The 19143-nt window shown below is 45.5% G+C and overlaps 2 protein-coding genes across 4 annotated transcripts in view, besides 5 other annotated features; both read left to right on the top strand.

Annotated features, from left to right (window-relative positions):
- Positions 1–60: an enhancer, noted in NCBI's record as "active region_3896". NCBI's record gives its function as "activates an Ori minimal core promoter by ATAC-STARR-seq in GM12878 lymphoblastoid cells {active_cell/tissue: GM12878}" and the evidence as "EXISTENCE:reporter gene assay evidence [ECO:0000049][PMID:35858748]".
- Positions 131–220: an enhancer, noted in NCBI's record as "active region_3895". NCBI's record gives its function as "activates an Ori minimal core promoter by ATAC-STARR-seq in GM12878 lymphoblastoid cells {active_cell/tissue: GM12878}" and the evidence as "EXISTENCE:reporter gene assay evidence [ECO:0000049][PMID:35858748]".
- Positions 5580–5629: an enhancer, noted in NCBI's record as "active region_3894". NCBI's record gives its function as "activates an Ori minimal core promoter by ATAC-STARR-seq in GM12878 lymphoblastoid cells {active_cell/tissue: GM12878}" and the evidence as "EXISTENCE:reporter gene assay evidence [ECO:0000049][PMID:35858748]".
- Positions 5763–6345: an enhancer, noted in NCBI's record as "H3K27ac hESC enhancer chr10:102289335-102289917 (GRCh37/hg19 assembly coordinates)". NCBI's record gives its function as "activates a minimal SCP1, AML or CMV promoter by ChIP-STARR-seq in primed H9 embryonic stem cells {active_cell/tissue: H9 hESC(primed)}" and the evidence as "EXISTENCE:reporter gene assay evidence [ECO:0000049][PMID:30033119]".
- Positions 6000–12194, top strand: NDUFB8 (NADH:ubiquinone oxidoreductase subunit B8). Of its 3 annotated transcripts, none has more exons than NM_001284368.1 (5): positions 6000–6065; positions 6417–6543; positions 8849–8948; positions 9369–9524; positions 11994–12194. In NM_001284368.1, exons 2-5 carry the CDS (start codon positions 6425–6427, stop codon positions 12084–12086), a joined length of 468 nt encoding a protein of 155 aa, NP_001271297.1. In that variant the 5' UTR covers positions 6000–6065; positions 6417–6424; the 3' UTR covers positions 12087–12194. The 3 variants fall into 3 exon arrangements, with proteins under 3 accessions (NP_001271297.1, NP_004995.1, NP_001271296.1); NM_005004.4 differs by having other exon boundaries at positions 6052–6156; positions 11994–12183; NM_001284367.2 differs by having other exon boundaries at positions 6052–6156; positions 11784–12183.
- Positions 7188–7357: an enhancer, noted in NCBI's record as "active region_3893". NCBI's record gives its function as "activates an Ori minimal core promoter by ATAC-STARR-seq in GM12878 lymphoblastoid cells {active_cell/tissue: GM12878}" and the evidence as "EXISTENCE:reporter gene assay evidence [ECO:0000049][PMID:35858748]".
- Positions 12195–16061: 3867 nt separating the features above from the next.
- The window catches only part of SEC31B (SEC31 homolog B, COPII component), a 33215-nt gene continuing 30133 nt past the window's right edge, over positions 16062–19143 (top strand). Inside the window, exons 1-2 of the mRNA NM_015490.4 lie at positions 16062–16141; positions 18926–19049. Of these exons, the coding sequence (NP_056305.1) occupies positions 18971–19049 (79 nt within the window). The 5' untranslated portion in view covers positions 16062–16141; positions 18926–18970. The remainder of the gene's footprint in view (positions 16142–18925; positions 19050–19143) is intronic.

The following is a 19143-nucleotide window of genomic DNA, read 5'->3' as shown; positions in this document are numbered from 1 at the left end:
GCTCCGCCTATTCCGGACCCCAAAAAAAAAAAAACAAAAAAACCACACACCCAACGGAAACCATAGAGATGAGCTGCGAGAGAGAGCGGTCCAGAGACATAAAGAACGCGGAGCCGAGGCCTGAGGGTGCGCCTCCTAATGGTAGTATGCAGCTCTACATCCTAGGCTCCACTGCTGAAGAAATGGGGCTAGACACTAGTCCCACGGAATAGGGACGACCTGGTAGAGCAAAACACAAAAAAAGTTGCCCCATGTGCCCGAGTCTACACAAGAGTCAAAGAAGGAAGCAAGTTCAGTTAGGCATTAAACTTTACACTCATGAATGGGGAGAAAAGCAAACTCTTGACCCACCTAAAGAAGTCAGAAGGAAAAGCAGTGATCACATTGGTAGATGTAGAGCAAAGGCTGACTGAAGGCTTAGGCAAAAGATATACAGCAAGTTGAATTCTTTCAAAATCAAAGACAGTTTTCTTTTGTTTAGCATCATTTGATTTTTCTGCCTATATCACCATGTCTCCTACTTGAATATATGTTTGCCGTGAATCGAATGTTATTAGAGGCCAACCATGGACATCTCACATTTTCAAACAATCTATACTGATTATAAAAGGCCATATTAATACCTCTATTGCTTACTTGGACAGTTCTTATGGCTGGCTGTGAGAGGCCCAATTCTAAGATGTATCCCAAGATTTGTACCCTACGGTGTACACATCCTGTATACATTTCTCCCCTTAAAAGAAAACACGACTGTGAATATGATAGAGCATCACTCCTGTAATTAGGTTAGCTTATATGACAAGGATGTAATTAAAGTCCCTAATCAATTAACTTTAAGGCAGTCAAAAAGAGGTGATTTATCCTGGTGGGCTTCATCTTATCACTCTAGCCCTTTAAATCAGGGCTAGAGGTCAGAGACAGAATCTAAGAGATTTGAAGCCACAGCACAGCTGTCCTGTTCACCTTGAAGGAGCAAACTGCCATATGGCAGGAAATGGCAGGTGGACTCTAGGAGCTGAGAAAGGCTCCTGGGTGACAGCCAACAAGAAAGTGGGCACCTTAATCCTACAAATGCAAGTAACTGAATTCTGGCAACAACCACTGAACTTGGGAAAGGACACACACGGAGCCTCAGATGAGATCGCTAACCCAGCCAACACCTTGATTTCAGCCTGATAAGACCCTGAGCTGAGGACTCAGCCAACCAGTACCTGGACTCATGGAATATGTGAGAAAATAAATTGGTGTTTTGGGCTGCTAAATTTACAGTAATTTGTTATGCAGTAATAGAAATGAATGCACTGGCTTAACTATGTAATTATGCTACATAGTAACCATGCTACACCAAACCGATAATAGGGCTACCTCTGTGGAAGTGTTTGAGGCTGCAGGGGGCAATCAAGGCTTTCATTTTATCTGCAGTGTTTGAATTTTTTTTTTTTTTTTGAGCTAGGGTCTCACTCTGTCACCCAGGCTGGAGTGCAGTGATGCAATCTTGGTTCACTGCAACCTCCACCTCCCCAGCTCAAGCAATCCTCCTACCATAGCCTCCCAAGTAGCTGGGACTAAAGGCACACACCACCATGCCGGACTAATTTTTTTTCCTTCTGTAGAGAAAGGGTTTTGCCATGTTGCTCAGGCTGAATGTTTGAATTTTTACAAGAATGTATTAATTCATAACCTTGGGAATTAAAAATAAATTAGGCCAGGCATGGTGGCACATGCCTGTAATCCCAGGACTTTTCAAGGCTGAGGCAGGAGGATTACTTGAGCCTGGGTGTTCCAGATCAGCCTGGGCAACATAGCAAGACCTCATCTCTACAAAAAATTTTAAAAATTAGCTCGGTGCGTTGATGCATGCCTGTAGTCCCAGCTACTAGGGAGGCTGAGGTAGGAGGATTGTTTGAGCCTGGGAGGTGCAGGCTGCAATGAGCCATGATCATGCCACTGCACTCCAGCCTGGATGACAGAGCAAGATCCTGTCTTACTAAAAATAAATAAATTAATTAAGATCAAGAAGATTAAAAGAACTAAAATCAGTAATGAAACAGGGATATTACTGCTGACTTTACCCCCCAAAAAAAGCATATAAGGACATACTGTAAACAATTGTATGTCAAAAAATTACAGAACCTAGATGAAATGGACAGATTCCTAGAAAGGCACAAGCTATAATAGCTGATTCAAGAAGAAATGGAAAATCTGAATAGACCTGTAACAAGAGATTGAATTAGGAATCAAAAACATCCCATAAAGAAAAGCCCAGAAACTGGGCATGGTGGCTTACATCTGTAATCCCTACACTTTGGGAGGCAGAGGCAAGCGAATCACTTGAGCCCAGAAGGTCGCGACCAGACTGGGCAACATGGAGAAACCCCATCTCTACCAAATCCCCCCAGCCAAAAAAAAAAAAAAAAAAAAATTAGCAGGCATGGTGGCACGCCTGTAGTTCCAGCTATTCGGGAAGCTGAAGTGGGAGGATCACTTGAGCCCGGAATGTGGAGGTTGCAGTCAACTGAGATTGCACCACTGCACTCCAGCCTTTTGAGACAGAGCTAGGCCTTGTCTCAAAAGAAAAGAAAAGGCTGGGCACAGTGGCTCATGCCTGTAATCTCAGAACTTTGGGAGGCCGAGGTCGGGGGGACCACCTGAGGTCAGGAGTTCGAGACTAGCCTGGCCAACATGGTAAAACCCCCATCGCTATCAAAAATACAAAAATTAGCCAGGCATGGTGGTGCACGCCTGTAGTCCCAGCTACTTGGGAGGCTGAGGCAGGAGAATCGCTTGAATCCCGGAGGCGGAGGTTGCAGTGAGCTGAGATCGTGCCACTGACTCCAGCCTGGGCAACAGAGCAAGATTCCATCTCAGGAAAAAAAAAAAAGAAAAAGAAAAAGAAAAGCTCAAGACCAGATAGATTTACTGATGAATCCTACCAAACATTTTTTAAAAAATTAACACTGGTCTGGGTGCAGTGGCTCATGTCTGGAATCCCAGCACTTTGGGAGGCCACGGCGGGTGAATCACGAGGTCAGGAGACCGAGACCATCCTGGCTAAAACGGTAAAACCCTGTCGCTACTAAAAATACAAAAAAATTAGCCGGGCATGGTGGCGGGTACCTGTAGTCCCAGCTACTCAGGAGGCTGAGGCAGGAGAATGGCGTGAACCTGGGAGGCGGAGCTTGCAGTGAGCCGAGATTGCACCACTGCACTCCAACCTGGGCAACAGAGCGATACTCCGTCTCAAAAAAAAAAAAAAAGAAAGAAAGAAAACTATAGACCAATATTTCTTATGAATATAGATGCAAAAATCCTAACAGAATACTAGCAAACTCAGTGTAACACCATATAAAAGAATTATATACTATGACCAAGTGGGATTTATTCCAGGAATGCAAGGTCAGTTCAACATCTCAGAATGATCAATATAACACACCATGTAGTAATCAATATTTTATTGATTAATATTTATAATCAACATAATACACTATATTAGTAAAAGAAAAAACCCTACATGATCATCTCAATAGACACAGAAAAAGCTTTTGACAAACCCCAACACCCCTTCCTGATAAACACAGGGTTCCAAATGATACTGTAAAAAAGCAAAAAAACCTACAGAGTCAGAGAAAATATTTATGAATTGTGTATCTGATCAGGGAATTGTATCTAGAATACATAAAGAATCCTTACAACTCAACAATAAAAAGACAAACCAATTTAAAAATGAACAAAGGGTTTGAACAGATATTCCTCCAAAGAAGGTATACCATGGCCAATAAGCACATGGAAAGATGCTCAGCATTATTAGTCATCAGGGTACTGCAAATGAAAACTGCAATGAAGTACCATTCACAGGCACTTGCATGGTGATACTAAAAAGAGACAATAACAAGTGTTGATAAAGATGTGGAGAAACTGAAACCCTCTCACACACTGCTAATGGGGATGTAACATGTCACAGCTGCTTTGAAAAACAATTTGGCAGTTCTTCAAAAGTTAAACCACAGAGTTACCCTATGACCCAGCAATTCTACTCCTAGGCATATAACCAAAAGAATAGAAAGCATACATCCAGACAAAAACTTATACAAGAATGTTCACAGCAGCATTATTCACAATAGCCAAACAAGCAGAAACAACTCAAATGTCCATTAACTGATAAATGTATAAATAAAATATTGTACTGTACATTCATATAATGGAATATTATACAGCCCAAAAAGGAATGAAGTACTGATATGTGCTACAACACAGACAAACTTTGAAAACATTATTCTAAGTGAAAGAAAATGGACACAAAAGGCCACATATTGCATGATCCATTTATATAAACTGTCTGAATAGGCAAATCCATAGAAACAGAAAGTAAATTAGTGGTTGCCAGTGGGTAGAGGTAGGGGCAACGTGCTAATGTGTATGGGTTTTTTCGGAAGCAATAAAAATGTTTTAGATAGTGATGATGATTGCACAACTTTGTAAATGTACTAAAAATAACTACTGTACACTTTAAAAGGTTTTTTTGTTTTTGTTTTTGTTTGTTTGTTTTTTGTTTTTGAGACAGTCTCACCCTGTCACCCAGGCTGGAGTGCAGTGGCGTGATCTCGGCTCATTGCAACCTCCATCTCCTGTGTTCAAGTGATTCTCTTGCCTCAGCCTCCTGAGTAGCTGGGATTACAAGTGTACACCACCATGCCCAGCTATTTTTGTATTTTTAGTAGAGATGGGTTTTTGCTGTGTTGGCCAGGCTGGTCTTGAACTCCTAACCTCAAGTAATCTTCCCACCTCAGCCTCCCAAAGTGCTGGGATTACAGGCGTGAGCCACCGCACCCGGCCTAAAAGGGTGAATTTATGGTATGTGAATAATATCTTAATAAAAATAAATAAATTAGATCAACTCTGTTTCTTGACCTAAATTGGATCAGGGTTTGCTATTGGTTGAATGCAGATGTTGTGCAATTATTCTGAACATCAACTAGTGATGTCATTTACAAGACAGCAAGTTGCTGTGTAGTCCTTCCCAAAATTTATATATTAAATAGTATATATCCATATTTGTTTACTTTTTATAACTTAAAAAAAAAGAGACGAAGTCTCACTATGTCACCCAGGCTGGTCTCAAACTCCTGGTCTCCAGCCATTCTCCAACCTAGGCCTCCCAAAGTGTTGGGATTACAGGTGTGAGCCACAGCTCCCAGCTTATATGCATTTTTATTGCTCTGATATATACTTGAGAATGTTTATAATAATAGGTTCTGCTCCAAAACAGTGGTCACCTGAAAAGTCACTGGAAATACGTGCATATTTATAATGTGTAAGTTATTCAAATCCCAAGTGAAAACATTCATATGCAAACATAATAATGTCTCCAATTCTTCTGTTGAGTTAGTTTGTTCATTATGGGCCGGTTTGTAATTTGTTTTATCCAAGTCCTACCAACTCTGAGGCTTTAAGCTGTCTCTGGAGAGCTGCCTCTGGTGATAAGTTTAATTTTACATTTGTTGGGTTGAGGTGACTGAGACATGCAGATGGAAACACGGACTGAAACTAAGGAGCCAATTCAGGGCCGAATTGTGTGTTGCACTGGCGTCTAAGTGAAGATCAACCCATTTGGAGAACAGAACAACAAGCAAGACCAACAGGTGAATTTGAAGAATGATCATGTTTGGGGATGGAAGGAAGTGCCCGTGAAGGAGAGGAAAGCAAGCAGCCAGAGAAGAGAGTAAGACAGGCTCATTTCACTAGTACAGCTCCTGGGGGAGGTGGTTAAGCTGTCTACCTGAGTTGCTCAGGTTCCGAGTTCCCATCATCCCTGGATGGGTCTAAGTCAGCTCAGGGAGAAAAAGGACACAACATTCTGAAATGTCAGAGACCTGCCTGGTTTTCCCTTCTTCCCGCTTATCCTTCCCAGCCTCTATCCAACCCTTGGCTTCCCAACTGCGTATTTAAACCCCGCCCCTGTTGAACCCTTCGGCTTTTCTTCACTCCCGGCTTCCTCCGTCACGTTTGGCCCGGCTCAGCCGCCGTGACAGGCCTTTGCGCATGTGCAGAAGGGAAACGTGAAGAAGGTGAAGATGGCGGTGGCCAGGGCCGGGGTCTTGGGAGTCCAGTGGCTGCAAAGGGCATCCCGGAACGTGATGCCGCTGGGCGCACGGACAGGTCCGCGAGAACGGGCGAGACCTCAGTGTGGGAAGGGGGTACCTGAAATTTGGTGTATCGGGAGGGGGGATCGTAGATGCCGCGGCGGCAGCCTCCGGGTAGGGAGTGGAGGTGGCGTTGATATATCCAGAAAATGGGGTGGAGGATCGCACTGATCCTGCGAAGTCCCGGGCTCGGACCTCTGCAGCCCCTGCGACTTGAAGCCTTCGGAGCGGCTGGAGAGCGGGCTCGCTTCTGACCTGTTCTCTTCTGCGTTCTAGCCTCCCACATGACCAAGGACATGTTCCCGGGGCCCTATCCTAGGACCCCAGAAGAACGGGCCGCCGCCGCCAAGAAGTATAATATGCGTGTGGAAGACTACGAACCTTACCCGGATGATGGCATGGGGTGAGACAGAGAGGGTATGCTCGCACCCAAGTAGTGATGGGAGAAGGCCGGCTGGGTTGGGTGGCTTGACTGTGACCCTTTTTCCCGAACCTTCTCGTGACCCCTCAGAGTCAATGGAGTGGGTGCTTTTCTCTGTGGAGGGAGGTGGGAGGGGGGTGGGTGAGCAGCTGCAGCTGAGAGGACTTCAATTTTCTCCTTGGCTCAGGCTGTTTCCTCAAATGAGGAAGCCGAGGTTTTAATGGCTCCCTCGAGGACCCCCGAATAGCAGGAGCCTTCCTTGGCTCTATCCAGAGCGTCGAGTTTCATTTAGATTGAGCATCTGCTGCGCTCAGGTGCTGTCATCCAGGCATGTGACCAGGCTGGAGCTGGACTCCTGTCATGAGAATCTTATTTGTAAACGGAGTACTCTATATTTGTGTGTATGTCTCTTTAAAAAAAATGTTTTTCTGTTAGTGCTGTGGAAATCGTAGCAACTATTAAGCAGATTAAACAGCCAGCCCCCTTACGTACTCCAGTTGATGTTATCCTATCCCTTCCACACTCTTCCGTATCCATACCCACATAACATCCCAATGGTTAATTATCTGAAGTGATTATCATCGCCTTTATTTCCTGTCCTAATGTCACTCTTTCAATCTTGGTTTCAGCAACTTCTATTCTTCTTGTTATACACTCATTTTCTGTAGCATATGTCTAGTTGTCATCATTTCCTGTTTTTTCTTATGTTGTGGACAAGAGCAGCCTTGTTCGAAGCCAGTGTCAGATGAACCTGGATTTGTTGGGGAAAACCCAGCTTAGCAAGAGGTCCCATGAGGTGTTTGAGACGCAGAGATGAATGCCAACTGGGTGGTCAAGAACACAGTTATTACGAGAAGAGTGCTTTTCTAATCTGTACCCTTTTTGTTTTTATTCCAATTAGCTGGGTGACTTTGGATTCAGACTCTAAACTTTAATTTTTCATTTTCTATCTAATGAGGGAATCAGAGTACAGTCATATGTCACTTAACAACAGGGATACATTCTGAGAAATGGGTTGTTAGGTTATCTCCTCATTGTATGAACATTAGGAGTGTACTTACAGAAACCTAGATGGTATGGCCTGCTACACACCTCGGCTTTATGGTATGGCCTGTTGCTCTGAGGCCACAAACCTGTACAGCATATTGCTATACTTAATACTGTGGGAAATTGTAACACAATGGTATTTGTGTATCTAAACATAGAAAAGGTACATAAAAGTATGCTATAAAAGATAAAAAATGGGCCAGGCACAGTGGCTCACGCCTGTAATCCCAGCACTTTGGGAGGCCAAGGCAGGCAGATCACGAGGTCAGGAGATCAAGACCAGCCTGGCTAACGTGGCGAAACCCTGTCTCTGCTAAAAATACAAAAATTAGCTGGGCGTGATGGCAGGTGCCTGTAATCCCAGCTACTTGGGAGGCTGAGGCGGGAGAATTGCTTGAACCCGGGAGGTGGAGGTTGCAGTAAGCTGAGATTGTGCCATTGCCCTCCAGTCTGGGCAACAAGAGCAAGATTCCGTCTCAAAAAAGAGAAAAAGATAAAAAATGGTACATATGTATAGGGCAGCTTTATTATAAACTTATGGGACCCCCTTCGTGTATGTTGTCCGTCATTGACTGAAATGGTATGTGGCACATGACTGTAATTGATTGCTAAATTCCCTTTCATCTCTAATATCACACGATTGTGTGACTTTTTTTCTTTTTATTGAAAGAAGTTTGGGGAAGCTGGGTTTTTTTGTTTTGTTTTGTTTTTTTCAGACAGTTTCACTCTTGTTGCCTAGGCTGGAGTGCAATGGTGCGATCTGGGCACACTGCAACCTCCACTTCTTGGGTTCAAGTGATTCTCCTGCCTCAGCCTCCTGAGTAGCTGATATTACAGGCACCTGCCACCACACCCAGCTAATTTTTGTATTTTTAGTAAAGGTGGGGTTTCACCATGTTGACCAGTCTGGTCTTGAATTCCTGACCTTAGGTGATCTGCCCACCTCAGCCTCTCAAAGTGCTGGGATTATAGGCATGAGCCACCACACCTGGCCCAGGGAAGGCTTATGTACATTAAAATATTTCAGAGTTTGCCATGAACTTTTAAATACAGTGTGGACTTCTATGGTTAATTCTGTGCTTAGTGACTAGAACTTGAGCTCTTGCCTTGAGGTTTAGTTCCTTTGTCCTTAGGTGAGGCAGTTATCTCTGTCACTTTGTTTCTCATCTATAAGATGAGGAGACTCTGAATTGTCTGAGGCTGCTCACAGCCCTTTCCAGAAGTTCTTGCTGTCTTTCAGGTATGGCGACTACCCGAAGCTCCCTGACCGCTCACAGCATGAGAGAGATCCATGGTATAGCTGGGACCAGCCGGGCCTGAGGTTGAACTGGGGTGAACCGGTAAGAGAACCATATCTCATTTGACCTTCCTTCTCTCTTTGTCTTCTTGGCGATTCTTTAGCTCAGATGGCACTTCTTTGACCAAGTAACACTAAGCTTTCCTGCTCAAGGAAGCAAGGTCCAGTGATGTGAGATCTGAGATTGCATGTGGCACACTGAATGGGACGTCTGGGAATCATGAAACTCTGTACTGTGAAAGTTGTGCACTTCCATGATGGAGCTGTCCCTATTCAGCAGAACCTAGACAGAGGCCAGCATCTAATCCTGTAGGGCAGTGTGCCTCAGACCTGGTTCTCAGCATATTGTCCCAGGGCAGTAGAATGCTTCTGTCTAGCCTTGTATCAGGCTCTAATCACTGGGGACTTGCCTGCATTTTGCAGGAAGAGTAGTATGTGACAGCTATTTGTCTTTCTGCCTCAGATGCACTGGCACCTAGACATGTACAACAGGAACCGTGTGGATACATCCCCCACACCTGTTTCTTGGCATGTCATGTGTATGCAGCTCTTCGGTTTCCTGGCTTTCATGATATTCATGTGCTGGGTGGGGGACGTGTACCCTGTCTACCAGCCTGTGGTGAGTATCCGAGAAGTGCTCCCTTAGGCACGCTTGCTTAGCCCCATTTCCTGAGGGAGTGAAGTCTCTGGGGTAGGAATCCAGTCAATACCAAGCTTGGCTTCCTGGAGTCTTAGGAGATAGGAAGATAGGAGGGCCTTGACCCATTGGCCTGCCACAAGTACCACAGCACTTCTCCACCCCTACTTCTTGGACCAGTCTGGGTGAGTAGATACACTTGAAGACTAGATGAGCAATGAGTGTGTGGAAACCAGCTAGTCACCAGAGTTGCCATTTGGGGATTATATTTATTAACAATATTTCATTAAGTGATCTTTCACAGTAGAGTTAAGGAATCTTGAGTGAAAATCTTATCCTTTGTTGGACTTGTGAAGGGCACGTCCTGTAGTATATTGGAAGCAATTAAGAGTCTACTACAGGCATAGACTTACATTTTGGAGAATGTAAAGGACATAGAAAATGAATTCTCTAGCTTTAAGGAAGTTTAGTTAAGAAAATTTAGATAAGTTACATGAGCAACATTTGAACAGATATATGGGAATTCTGTACAATCTATGTGTATATATGTGTATAGTGAATGTATGTGCTTAGTGGTATGAGTTACTGTCAAGGAGAAGGGCTACCTAGATGCTAACACACACACACACACACACACACACACACACACACACACACACACACGTATGTGCTTAGTGGTATGAGTTACTGTCAAGGAGAAGGGCTACCTAGATGCTAACACACACACACACACACACACACACACACACACACACACACACACACGCTTTGGGTGGTGGGAAGTTGGAGAAAACATTTGGGGCAAGAGAAAACAATGAAGGCGGCCAGGTATGGTGGTTTGCGCCTGTAATCCCGGCACATTGGGAGGCTGAGGTGGGCAGATTGCTTGAGCTCAGGAGTTCAAGACCAGCCTGGGCAACATAGTGAAACCCCGTCTCTACAAAGTATACAAAAAAATTAGCCAGGCATGGTGGTGCGTGCCTGTAATCCCAGCTACTTGGGAGGCTGGGGCACAGGAATCCTTTGAACTTGGGAGGCAGAGGTTGCAGTGAGCTGAAATCACACTACTGCCCCCCAGCCTGGGCAACAGAGCAAGACTCTGTCTCGAAAAAAAAAAAAGAAAACAATGAAGGAAAAGGAGGGTGAGTTAGCTGGAGTAGAATAGAGGTATAGAATCGTTCCTAAATAACCGGCTGCATTGGTTTCCTGGAGACTTGCTAAAAACCCAGATTCCCAGGCCCCACTTCTTGGTGCTCCTAATTCAGTAGCATCACAGTAGGGTTCCAGAAGCGGTATTTTTAACAAGCTCCCAGGTAATTCTGATGTGCACCTAGATTTGGAAATCACTGTGTTAAAAAATATTGTGAGGTAAGTTGGTCAGTTAGGTTGGGCAGCTTTTATTTCATTGCTAAGGGATTTGGACTTGATGGTGTAATAAAGCATTAATTGAACAAATATTTATGGAGCCTGTACTATGTACCAGATGCAGACTGTGCTAGCGGTTGGGGATACAGTGATGACTTGGTCTGCCTCTAGGTGGCAGGGAGCCATTTTGGGTTTTCGAACAGAAAAGTGACATAATGAATGCTGAGTTCTTAGGAAGATTAATCCAGGAGTAGTCTCCAGGATGTACTGGAAGGAGAGAAGCTGAAAGCAGGGAGGCTGCTGTGTTTGCAGTTGGCTGCCCAGTGCTACCTCTGCAGAGACAATCAATGTCCTGAAGGTAGCTGGTATGTCTGTGTGCACTGACACGAGCCTTCCTACCAAGCCCCAGGGGCTCCATGCTGGAGAATGCACGTAGGGCTAGGGTGAGCACTAACTTCACTTCAGGAGAGCAAGGAACAGTGTGGCTCTTCCATTTTTCAGTTCTGTAAGCACATCACCCTTTTCTCCTCCCCTTGAGCTGTGTTCTCTGACAGCTGTTTGTTGGTAAAGCCAGCAGCCCCTAAAGCACGTCCCAGCCTTGTCTCCTCTGTGCTTTCCCCCACCACTGCTGCTGCACGCCTCATTTGCTGGGCCACTTTAGTGGTGGAACCATTAGAGGCTGAGTGACTTAAAGGAGATTGAGTCTGTCTCGACCCCGAGAGAGAGTGGGATGGATGGATGCATCGTCTCATTTAGAAAGTGTTGCCTCTGACTCTAACACACTCTTCTCTCTTTCTTTACCTCCCTCCCTGTCTTCCTCCCTTCCCCTCCTTTCCCTAACCCCCTTCCCTCCCCCTTTCTCCTTCTCTCTCACAGTGTAGGCACCACTTCTCTTACAATTTAGGCTTTCTCTCTGCCTTGGGCTGAGTGAGGAAGAGGAGTGCTGTTCCTGCCTTCCTAGCCCAGCTGGGTCTGACCAGAGGCTACTGTGTACCCATTTACCATGCGTGATTGTTAACTCAGAGTGGGGTGTAGCCAGGTATTGACTGAATGTATGTTCTTGCTGACCTGTGTTTTTTTCTGTAGGGACCAAAGCAGTATCCTTACAATAATCTGTACCTGGAACGAGGCGGTGATCCCTCCAAAGAACCAGAGCGGGTGGTTCACTATGAGATCTGAGGAGGCTTCGTGGGCTTTTGGGTCCTCTAACTAGGACTCCCTCATTCCTAGAAATTTAACCTTAATGAAATCCCTAATAAAACTCAGTGCTGTGTTATTTGTGCCTCATTTCCCCAGGAATAGTCACTGCCTTGAGGAACCTCATCCTTTTCCCTTTTTTTCTGCTTGATGTCTGCTGTCTTCCCTGTTTTCTTTTTCTGAAATTTAAAGGATAAGAGGGTGGGGTGGATGGGGACTTAGGCACAAAATGTTAATTTGTTAATTTCACTTGGGTTGTAAAGGTACTTAAGGGTTTTAGCTGTGTGGAGGTGTTAAGGGTCCCTCCTTTTCCCATTTACAGGGTCAAGGAAGAAATGTTCCTAACTTTCCAAGTTGGAACAAGATTTATTTCACATAAAAAACCTTTCTAGTCTGGGTCTGGTAGCTCACGCCTATTATCCCAACACTTTGGGAGGCTGAGGTGGAAGGATTGCTTGAAGCTCAGGACTTTGAGACTAGCCTGGGCAACATGACGAGACCCCATCTCTGCAAAAAAAAATTTCAGAAAATTCACTGGGCACAGCAGTGCGCGCCTGTGGTCCCAGCTGTGCAGCAGGCTGAGCTGGGAGGATCATTTGAGCCCAGGAGCGTGCAGTGAGCCATGTTTGCAACACTGCTCCAGCCTGGGCAACACAGCAAGACCCTGTCTCGAAAAAAACCTTGGCATGGCGTGGTGGCTCAGCCTGTAACCCAGCACTTTGGGAGGCCGAGGCGGGTGAATCACTTGAGGCCAGGAGTTGAAGACTAGCCTGACTAACACAGCAAAACCCCGTCTCTATTAAGAATACAAAATATTAGCCAAGCTTGGTGGTGTATGCTTGTAATCCCAGCTACTCCAGAGGCTGAGGCAGGAGACTCCCTTGAACCCAGGAGGTCAAGGTTGCGGTGAGATGGTGGCACTGCACTCCAGCCTGGGCGACAGAGCCAGACCGTCTCAAAACAAAAAAAAACAAAAAAAACTCCTTAATAATAGTGGTTACTTGGAAAAAAATGTGCTCTAACGTGTTTCAAGTATATTACAGGACTGATAAGTGTTTTTGTCCTGTCTGCCTAAGGCTGCGACTGCCTCTGATCTTATTTCCGTTATAAGAATATTCCTTATTCCAAAGCAGCTTCTGAATCATAGCTTCTTAATAAGTTGACATTACCTGTATTTATGAATTGGAGGACAGTCAGTGAGTTACTACTGAACATGTTCATAGCTTTGATTACTTTTGATGACTCATCCACACTCCTATAACAGTCTTAGAGAAAAACTATGTTTTTGAGAGTCTATCATTCATCTGTTTTTTGTTTTATTTAGAGATAGGATCTTCCTCTGTTCCCCAGGTGGAAGTGCAGTAGCACAATCATAGCTCTCTGTAGCCTCAAACCCCTGGGCTCAAGGGATCCTCCTTACTCAACCTCCCTAGTAGCTAGGATTACTGGGATGTACGAACCTAAGTTTCTTATTTTTTGTTGAGGTGGGATCTTGCTATGTTGCCCAGGCTGGCTCAAACTCCTGGCCTCAAGCAATCCTGCCTCAGCTTCCTAAAGCACTGGGAATACAGGCAGGAGCCACTGTACCCAGCCCTCATGTCTATTTTTAAGTGAACCAACCCATATTCCTTTGGGGACATATTCTTAAGTTACAGTATATTGCCGGAAAACCTGTCCCATAGAAAAGCATACATTTTATGTGACCAAAAGAAGCAAGTTCATTCAAATTAGATGTGGAGTCTTAGTTGTGCAGGCAGTGAGAGACCTTTTGTGAGGTCAGGGAGTGGATACTTGTGGAATGCTATTCTTTGAAGGTCCCCACTGGCTTTTTATCTGTCTTCATTCTCTATAGCATTTGATAATCATTTCCTTAACAAACACCTGTGTGTCTAATATGTATCAAACACTGATAAGCCCTGGAGATATAAAACTGAGCAAGACAAAGTAATCACCTTCAAATATTACATAGGAGACCAGCAGTTATAATACAAAGTGAAAATAATTCTTTATCATTATTACTATTGAGACAGGGTCTCACGCTGTTGCCCAGGCTGCAGTGTAGTGGTGTGATCACAGCTCACTGCAGCCTCTACCTCCCAGGCCCAAGCGGTCCTCTCACTGTAGCCTCCCAAGCAGCTGGGACCACAGGGATGCACCAACACACCTGGCTAATTTTTGTATTTTTTGTAGAGACAGGGTTTCACCATGTTGCCCAGGCTGGTCTTAAACTTGTGGGCTCAAGCAATCCACCTGCCTTGGTCTCCCAAAGTGTTGGGATTATGGGTGTGGGCCACTATGCCAGGCCAAAAAGAATTTTTTTTTTTTTTTTTTGAGACATGGTCTCACTCTGTCACCCAGGCTGGAGTGCAGTGGCATGATCTCAGCTCACTGCAACCTCTGCCTCCCAGGTTCAAGTGATTCTCATGCCTCAGCCTCCCGAGTAGCTGGGATTACAGGCACATGCCACCACGCCCAGCCAATTTTTTCGGTATTTTTTGGTAGAGATGTAGTTTCACCATATTGGTCAGGCTGGTCTTGAACTCCTGACCTCGAGTGATCTGCCCGCCTCAGCCTCCCAAAGTGCTAGGATTACAGGCATGAGCCACTGCTCCCAGCAAGAATTCTTAAGAGGTGTGAGTTGAGAAAGTGCACTTTTAATTTGGCTTAATCATGTCCTACCCGAAACTGTGACTTAAGCTTCTGGTTCAAATTTCTTTAGGAGTATTCCATCAGTAACTCTTCTGCCTCCTTCTCTCAGGTTTAGTTTTTAACCCTGTTTACTTTTCCTCAGGCTTCATTCCCTGTTGTGCCAGCTAAGAAGTTCAGGAAATACTTGAGTACTTAGTAGGTAGGAAGCGTGGGCTAGGCACAGATAATGCACTGAATTACCTTCTGTCTAACTTCAAAATTGCCAGATCCACATGGAAGGGAACTGGAGTCGTGTCACAATGAGTTGGGCTCCATCATGATAACTGGCCCCCCATCTTTGGAGGTGTATCAGGCAGGAATACAGAGAATTCATGCGTTAAGCATAAGTTTCTAAGATTTAAAGCTGCCTACAGAATTTTTTTTTTTTTTTTGAGATGGAGTCTCTGTCACCCAGGCTGGAGTGCAGTGGCGTGATCTCAGCTCACTGCAACCTCCACCTCCCGGGTTCAAGCTATTCTCATGCCTCAGCCTCGTGAGTAGCTGGGACTACAGGCCTGCACCACCATGCCCGGCTAATTTTTATATTTTTGGTAGCGACGGAGTTTCACCATGTTGGCCAGGCTGGTCTCGAACTCCTGACCTTTGGTGATATGCCCACCTTGGCCTCCCAAAGTGCTGGGATTACAGGTGTGAGCCACTGCACCCGACCTGTCTACAGAACATTTTTATTTGGAAGTGGCACAATTTCTTCAACATAAAAAATACATTATCGGCTGGAATATCACCTGTGTTCTTGCAGCTCCAGAGGATAACACCCCTCCTATGTTCCTCAAATATTTCAGGAAGCCCCTGGCCCTGTAGTCTCACCCTCCATACACTTATAGCCCTTAATTCAACCAAGTTTTGGGCACCAGTTTCTGCTGGGCTGCAGTGCAACACTCACTGCCATTTACAGCCTCGATTGCTTTTTACGTTTTCAACTAAATGGATTCCACTGAGGGCTCCTGGGGCCAGGGCCGGGTCTTCTCCCGCTTCAATACATAGATAATGAGTTAGTATTTTCCCTTTTCAGAGACTGGCCCTAGAGCCTGGCTCAAACTGAATAGACCAGAACTTACTGGTCCAGATCTGACCCGCTGCGCAATCACAGGGTAGGTGAGGGAGGCCCGGTTAAAAGCTATAATCCTGTTTGGAAACGTTCTCCGTGGGTCTGTCAGTGTCTCGGGCTCGGCGCCCGCGGAGCGTGTTTCCGACGGTGCCCTGCCGGGGTCCGCGCCGCTTTGGTCCTCCGCAGCCGCCGTCCACAGCGCCCGGCTCCGCGCGAGAGCCCTGCCAGAGGAGCGGCTCCGGCCGCCGCGCCTGACCCTTGTCCGGGGTCTTCCGCACAGGTTGGTTCGCCCCGCCGGTCTGGGGTCCCTGGTAGCAGAGATTGCGCTGGGGACCCGGAGCACTGCTCCTTTCTCGGCAGAGCGCGGAGGGGAGCCCGCTTGCTGCGGAGCCCCCGGCCCGCGCCTGCCCTGCCCGCGGGTCCGGGCCTCGGGGGCCTCCACTACGTCTACCCTTGAATTGGATCCGGCTCTACTGTCCCTGCCGCACGGGAACCCCCAGCCGGATGAGGGTCTCCCTGTTCACTGCTGCCTTGCGCCTTCCCATCCGCCTTGGTCCTGACCTGGCCCAGCCGAGGCCGTCCGGTGTCGCTGCGTTTGGGCTGGGCGGGAAGGTCTGTCATTGCTGACCCTGGCGCGCCGCGCTTCGGCGACAGCGGGAAAGAGGCTGTGCTGACCGTCCTCCCTAGGGACTGGACTGCCAAGGGTAGCTGGTGCCCTCCTGCACGGCAGGTCTGTCGAGCATTTCATTGGTCATCTCCCCCTCACGCCCCCATGGCCAATCTGACCCCAGCGGGGGCCCTTTTTTTGTGAATAGATGCCTCTTAACAATGTGAATTAAGAGCCCATTTTCCCAGTTCCTAGACTGTCAGCGATTAAAACACTTTCTAGGGTTTACTTGCGACTAGTACAGTGGTTAGAAATACGGGCTCTTGATGCTGATGGGGGTTCACATCCCGGCCTAGCCAGTTGTCATCTCTAGAAAATGGGGATAATCATAGTACTTACCTGATAAGACCACTGAGAGAATTAACTGAGATATGCACATCAAATGCACAGCTGCTTATCGCAGCTCCTATTTTTGTTGTTAGGGAATCTTTTCCCAGAAACATTAAAATGGCTGTGACCAGCAGGTGGCACTGGTGACTGTATAGTAGAGTGTTGAGCTGGTCACAGAATACGTGATAGTAGCCACAAGTGTTTAAAGGTGCTTTGGAAATCTTGGCTTAATGGGCAGGCTTAAACTTTCTTCACGCTAGAAAGTACCTTAGAGATTAAGTAATACTATCTCCTGTTTTTGTAGGTGAGACTGATCTGACTATAGCTTACTCAAGCAGGTCACAGTAGGTCCCAAGCTTTCTCCTCAAGTTCAGTGTAATTTTTAAAAATCATTTCTACCTGTTTGCTAGCCTGTTGGGATGGGACCTTGAATATACATTGGAATTAGATCAGAAACCACAGAGTTAAAATGGATGTCCACATTCGAGCTTTTACCATATGCCAGACATTCGTTTGGAAACTAGTTACAACATGGTGAACAAAAGCCGACACAGTGTCAGCTCTCATGGAGCTTGCATATTAGTGGAAGAGACTGACAATGTCAATATAAATAAATATGTAATTATAAATTACTAGGAAGAAAAAAACTGAGGCTTTTTGTGATTGGGTAGTTCACTTATTTGGGGAAGTAAGCTGAGCCCAGAAAGATATAAGGAGCCAGTCATGTCGAAAGTGAAGGGAAGAGCATTCAAAGTATAGGGAACAGCATTTGTAAAGGCTCTAAGGAAGGAAAATGTCAGGAAATTAAAGGCTAGTGTGGCTGAAGCACAATGAATGAGAAAAGTATTAAAAGATGAAGTTGAAGTGGTAGGCTGGAGCCTTTGGGCAGGGCTCAAAGAAGTTTGAATTTTATTCTGTGTGTGATAGAAATCATTGAAAGATTTTAAGCATGGAATGCCAAAATCATTTTTTATTTTAGAAGTTCACTCCTGCTGCTGTGTAAAGAACGAATTGGGTAATGGCTTGAGTAGAAAGGGGATAGCTAGTTGGGAGGTTGTTGGAGTACTCCAGGTGAGAGATGATACAATCAAAAAGGCTGTTGGCAGCGAAAATAGAGAAAAGTAGACAGATTGAGATATATTTTGGAGGTTAAATCAAGGAGACTAAATGATGGATTAGAAGAGAATGAGGGAGAAGGAGGGATCAAGAGGGATTTTCAGGCTTCTGGGTTGAGCAATTGGGTGGATAGTGGAACCATTTACCAAGATGAAAAAAACTGGAGGAAGAACAGAAGAGATTGTGACTTTGCTCCTTTCTGAAAAAAACAAATAAAAAAAGACCATAAAAGATGGTAGAATAGAGAACTCCATTTTAGACAGACTAAAATGGGAGTTCCCTCCCCCATTAAGTATCTACTATATCCAAGTGAAATATTTGATTGGAAATTGCGTATAAGCAGCTGATCACTTGAGGTCAGGAGTTCGAGACCAGCCTGGCCAACACGGTAAAACTACGTCTCTACTAAAAATACAAAAATTAGCCAGGCATGGTGGCACATGCCTGTTATCCCAGCCACTCGGGAGGCTGAGGCAGGAGAATCACTTGAACCCAGGAGGCAGGGGTTGCAGTGAGCTGAGATCGTGTCACTGCACTCCAGCCTGGGTGACAGAGCAAGACTTGGTCTAAAAAACGAAAAGAAATTGCATATAAGAACTTGGAGCTTAGAGGAGAGATTTGTGATGGTGATATAAATTTGGGGATCATCAGCATATGGGTGCTATTTAAAGCCAAGGAAATGGACAAACATCACTGAGAGATTGTCTGGTTTGATGGTTATCACCACTGGACCTGTGGTAGCCATTGTGGTTGAGTATCATTTGAGGTTTAAAGCATTACATTTCAGTAATTGGGTGAATGAACTATCTTTAGATCTGCAGATGGTCATGTATTTGTCACTCTGTGTTGCCCTGAAATGCCCTATCTTGTGATGGAGAAAGACAAACAAGAACTCTTGTCCGCAGATGCTCCCTGGATCTGGCTGTTAAGTTTGCTGGTTTCTATTTTCAGTGGGCTGAGGGCCATGTCAGTTTTCTGCCACCTACAGGATAGACCATGAAGCTGAAGGAACTTGAGCGGCCAGCTGTCCAGGCATGGAGCCCAGCCAGCCAATACCCTTTGTATCTGGCCACAGGTATGGTGACACTGTGAATTAGGATCCACTGGGAGTACATAAGTTGAGGGGAAACTTAGTATCTAGAATTATTTATTGAACATCAGAGAAAGCT

The sequence above is a fragment of the Homo sapiens genome, chromosome 10 (assembly GCF_000001405.40).
Source record: "Homo sapiens chromosome 10, GRCh38.p14 Primary Assembly".
NCBI lineage: Eukaryota > Metazoa > Chordata > Mammalia > Primates > Hominidae > Homo > Homo sapiens.
This window is presented reverse-complemented; position numbering and strand designations above follow the sequence as displayed.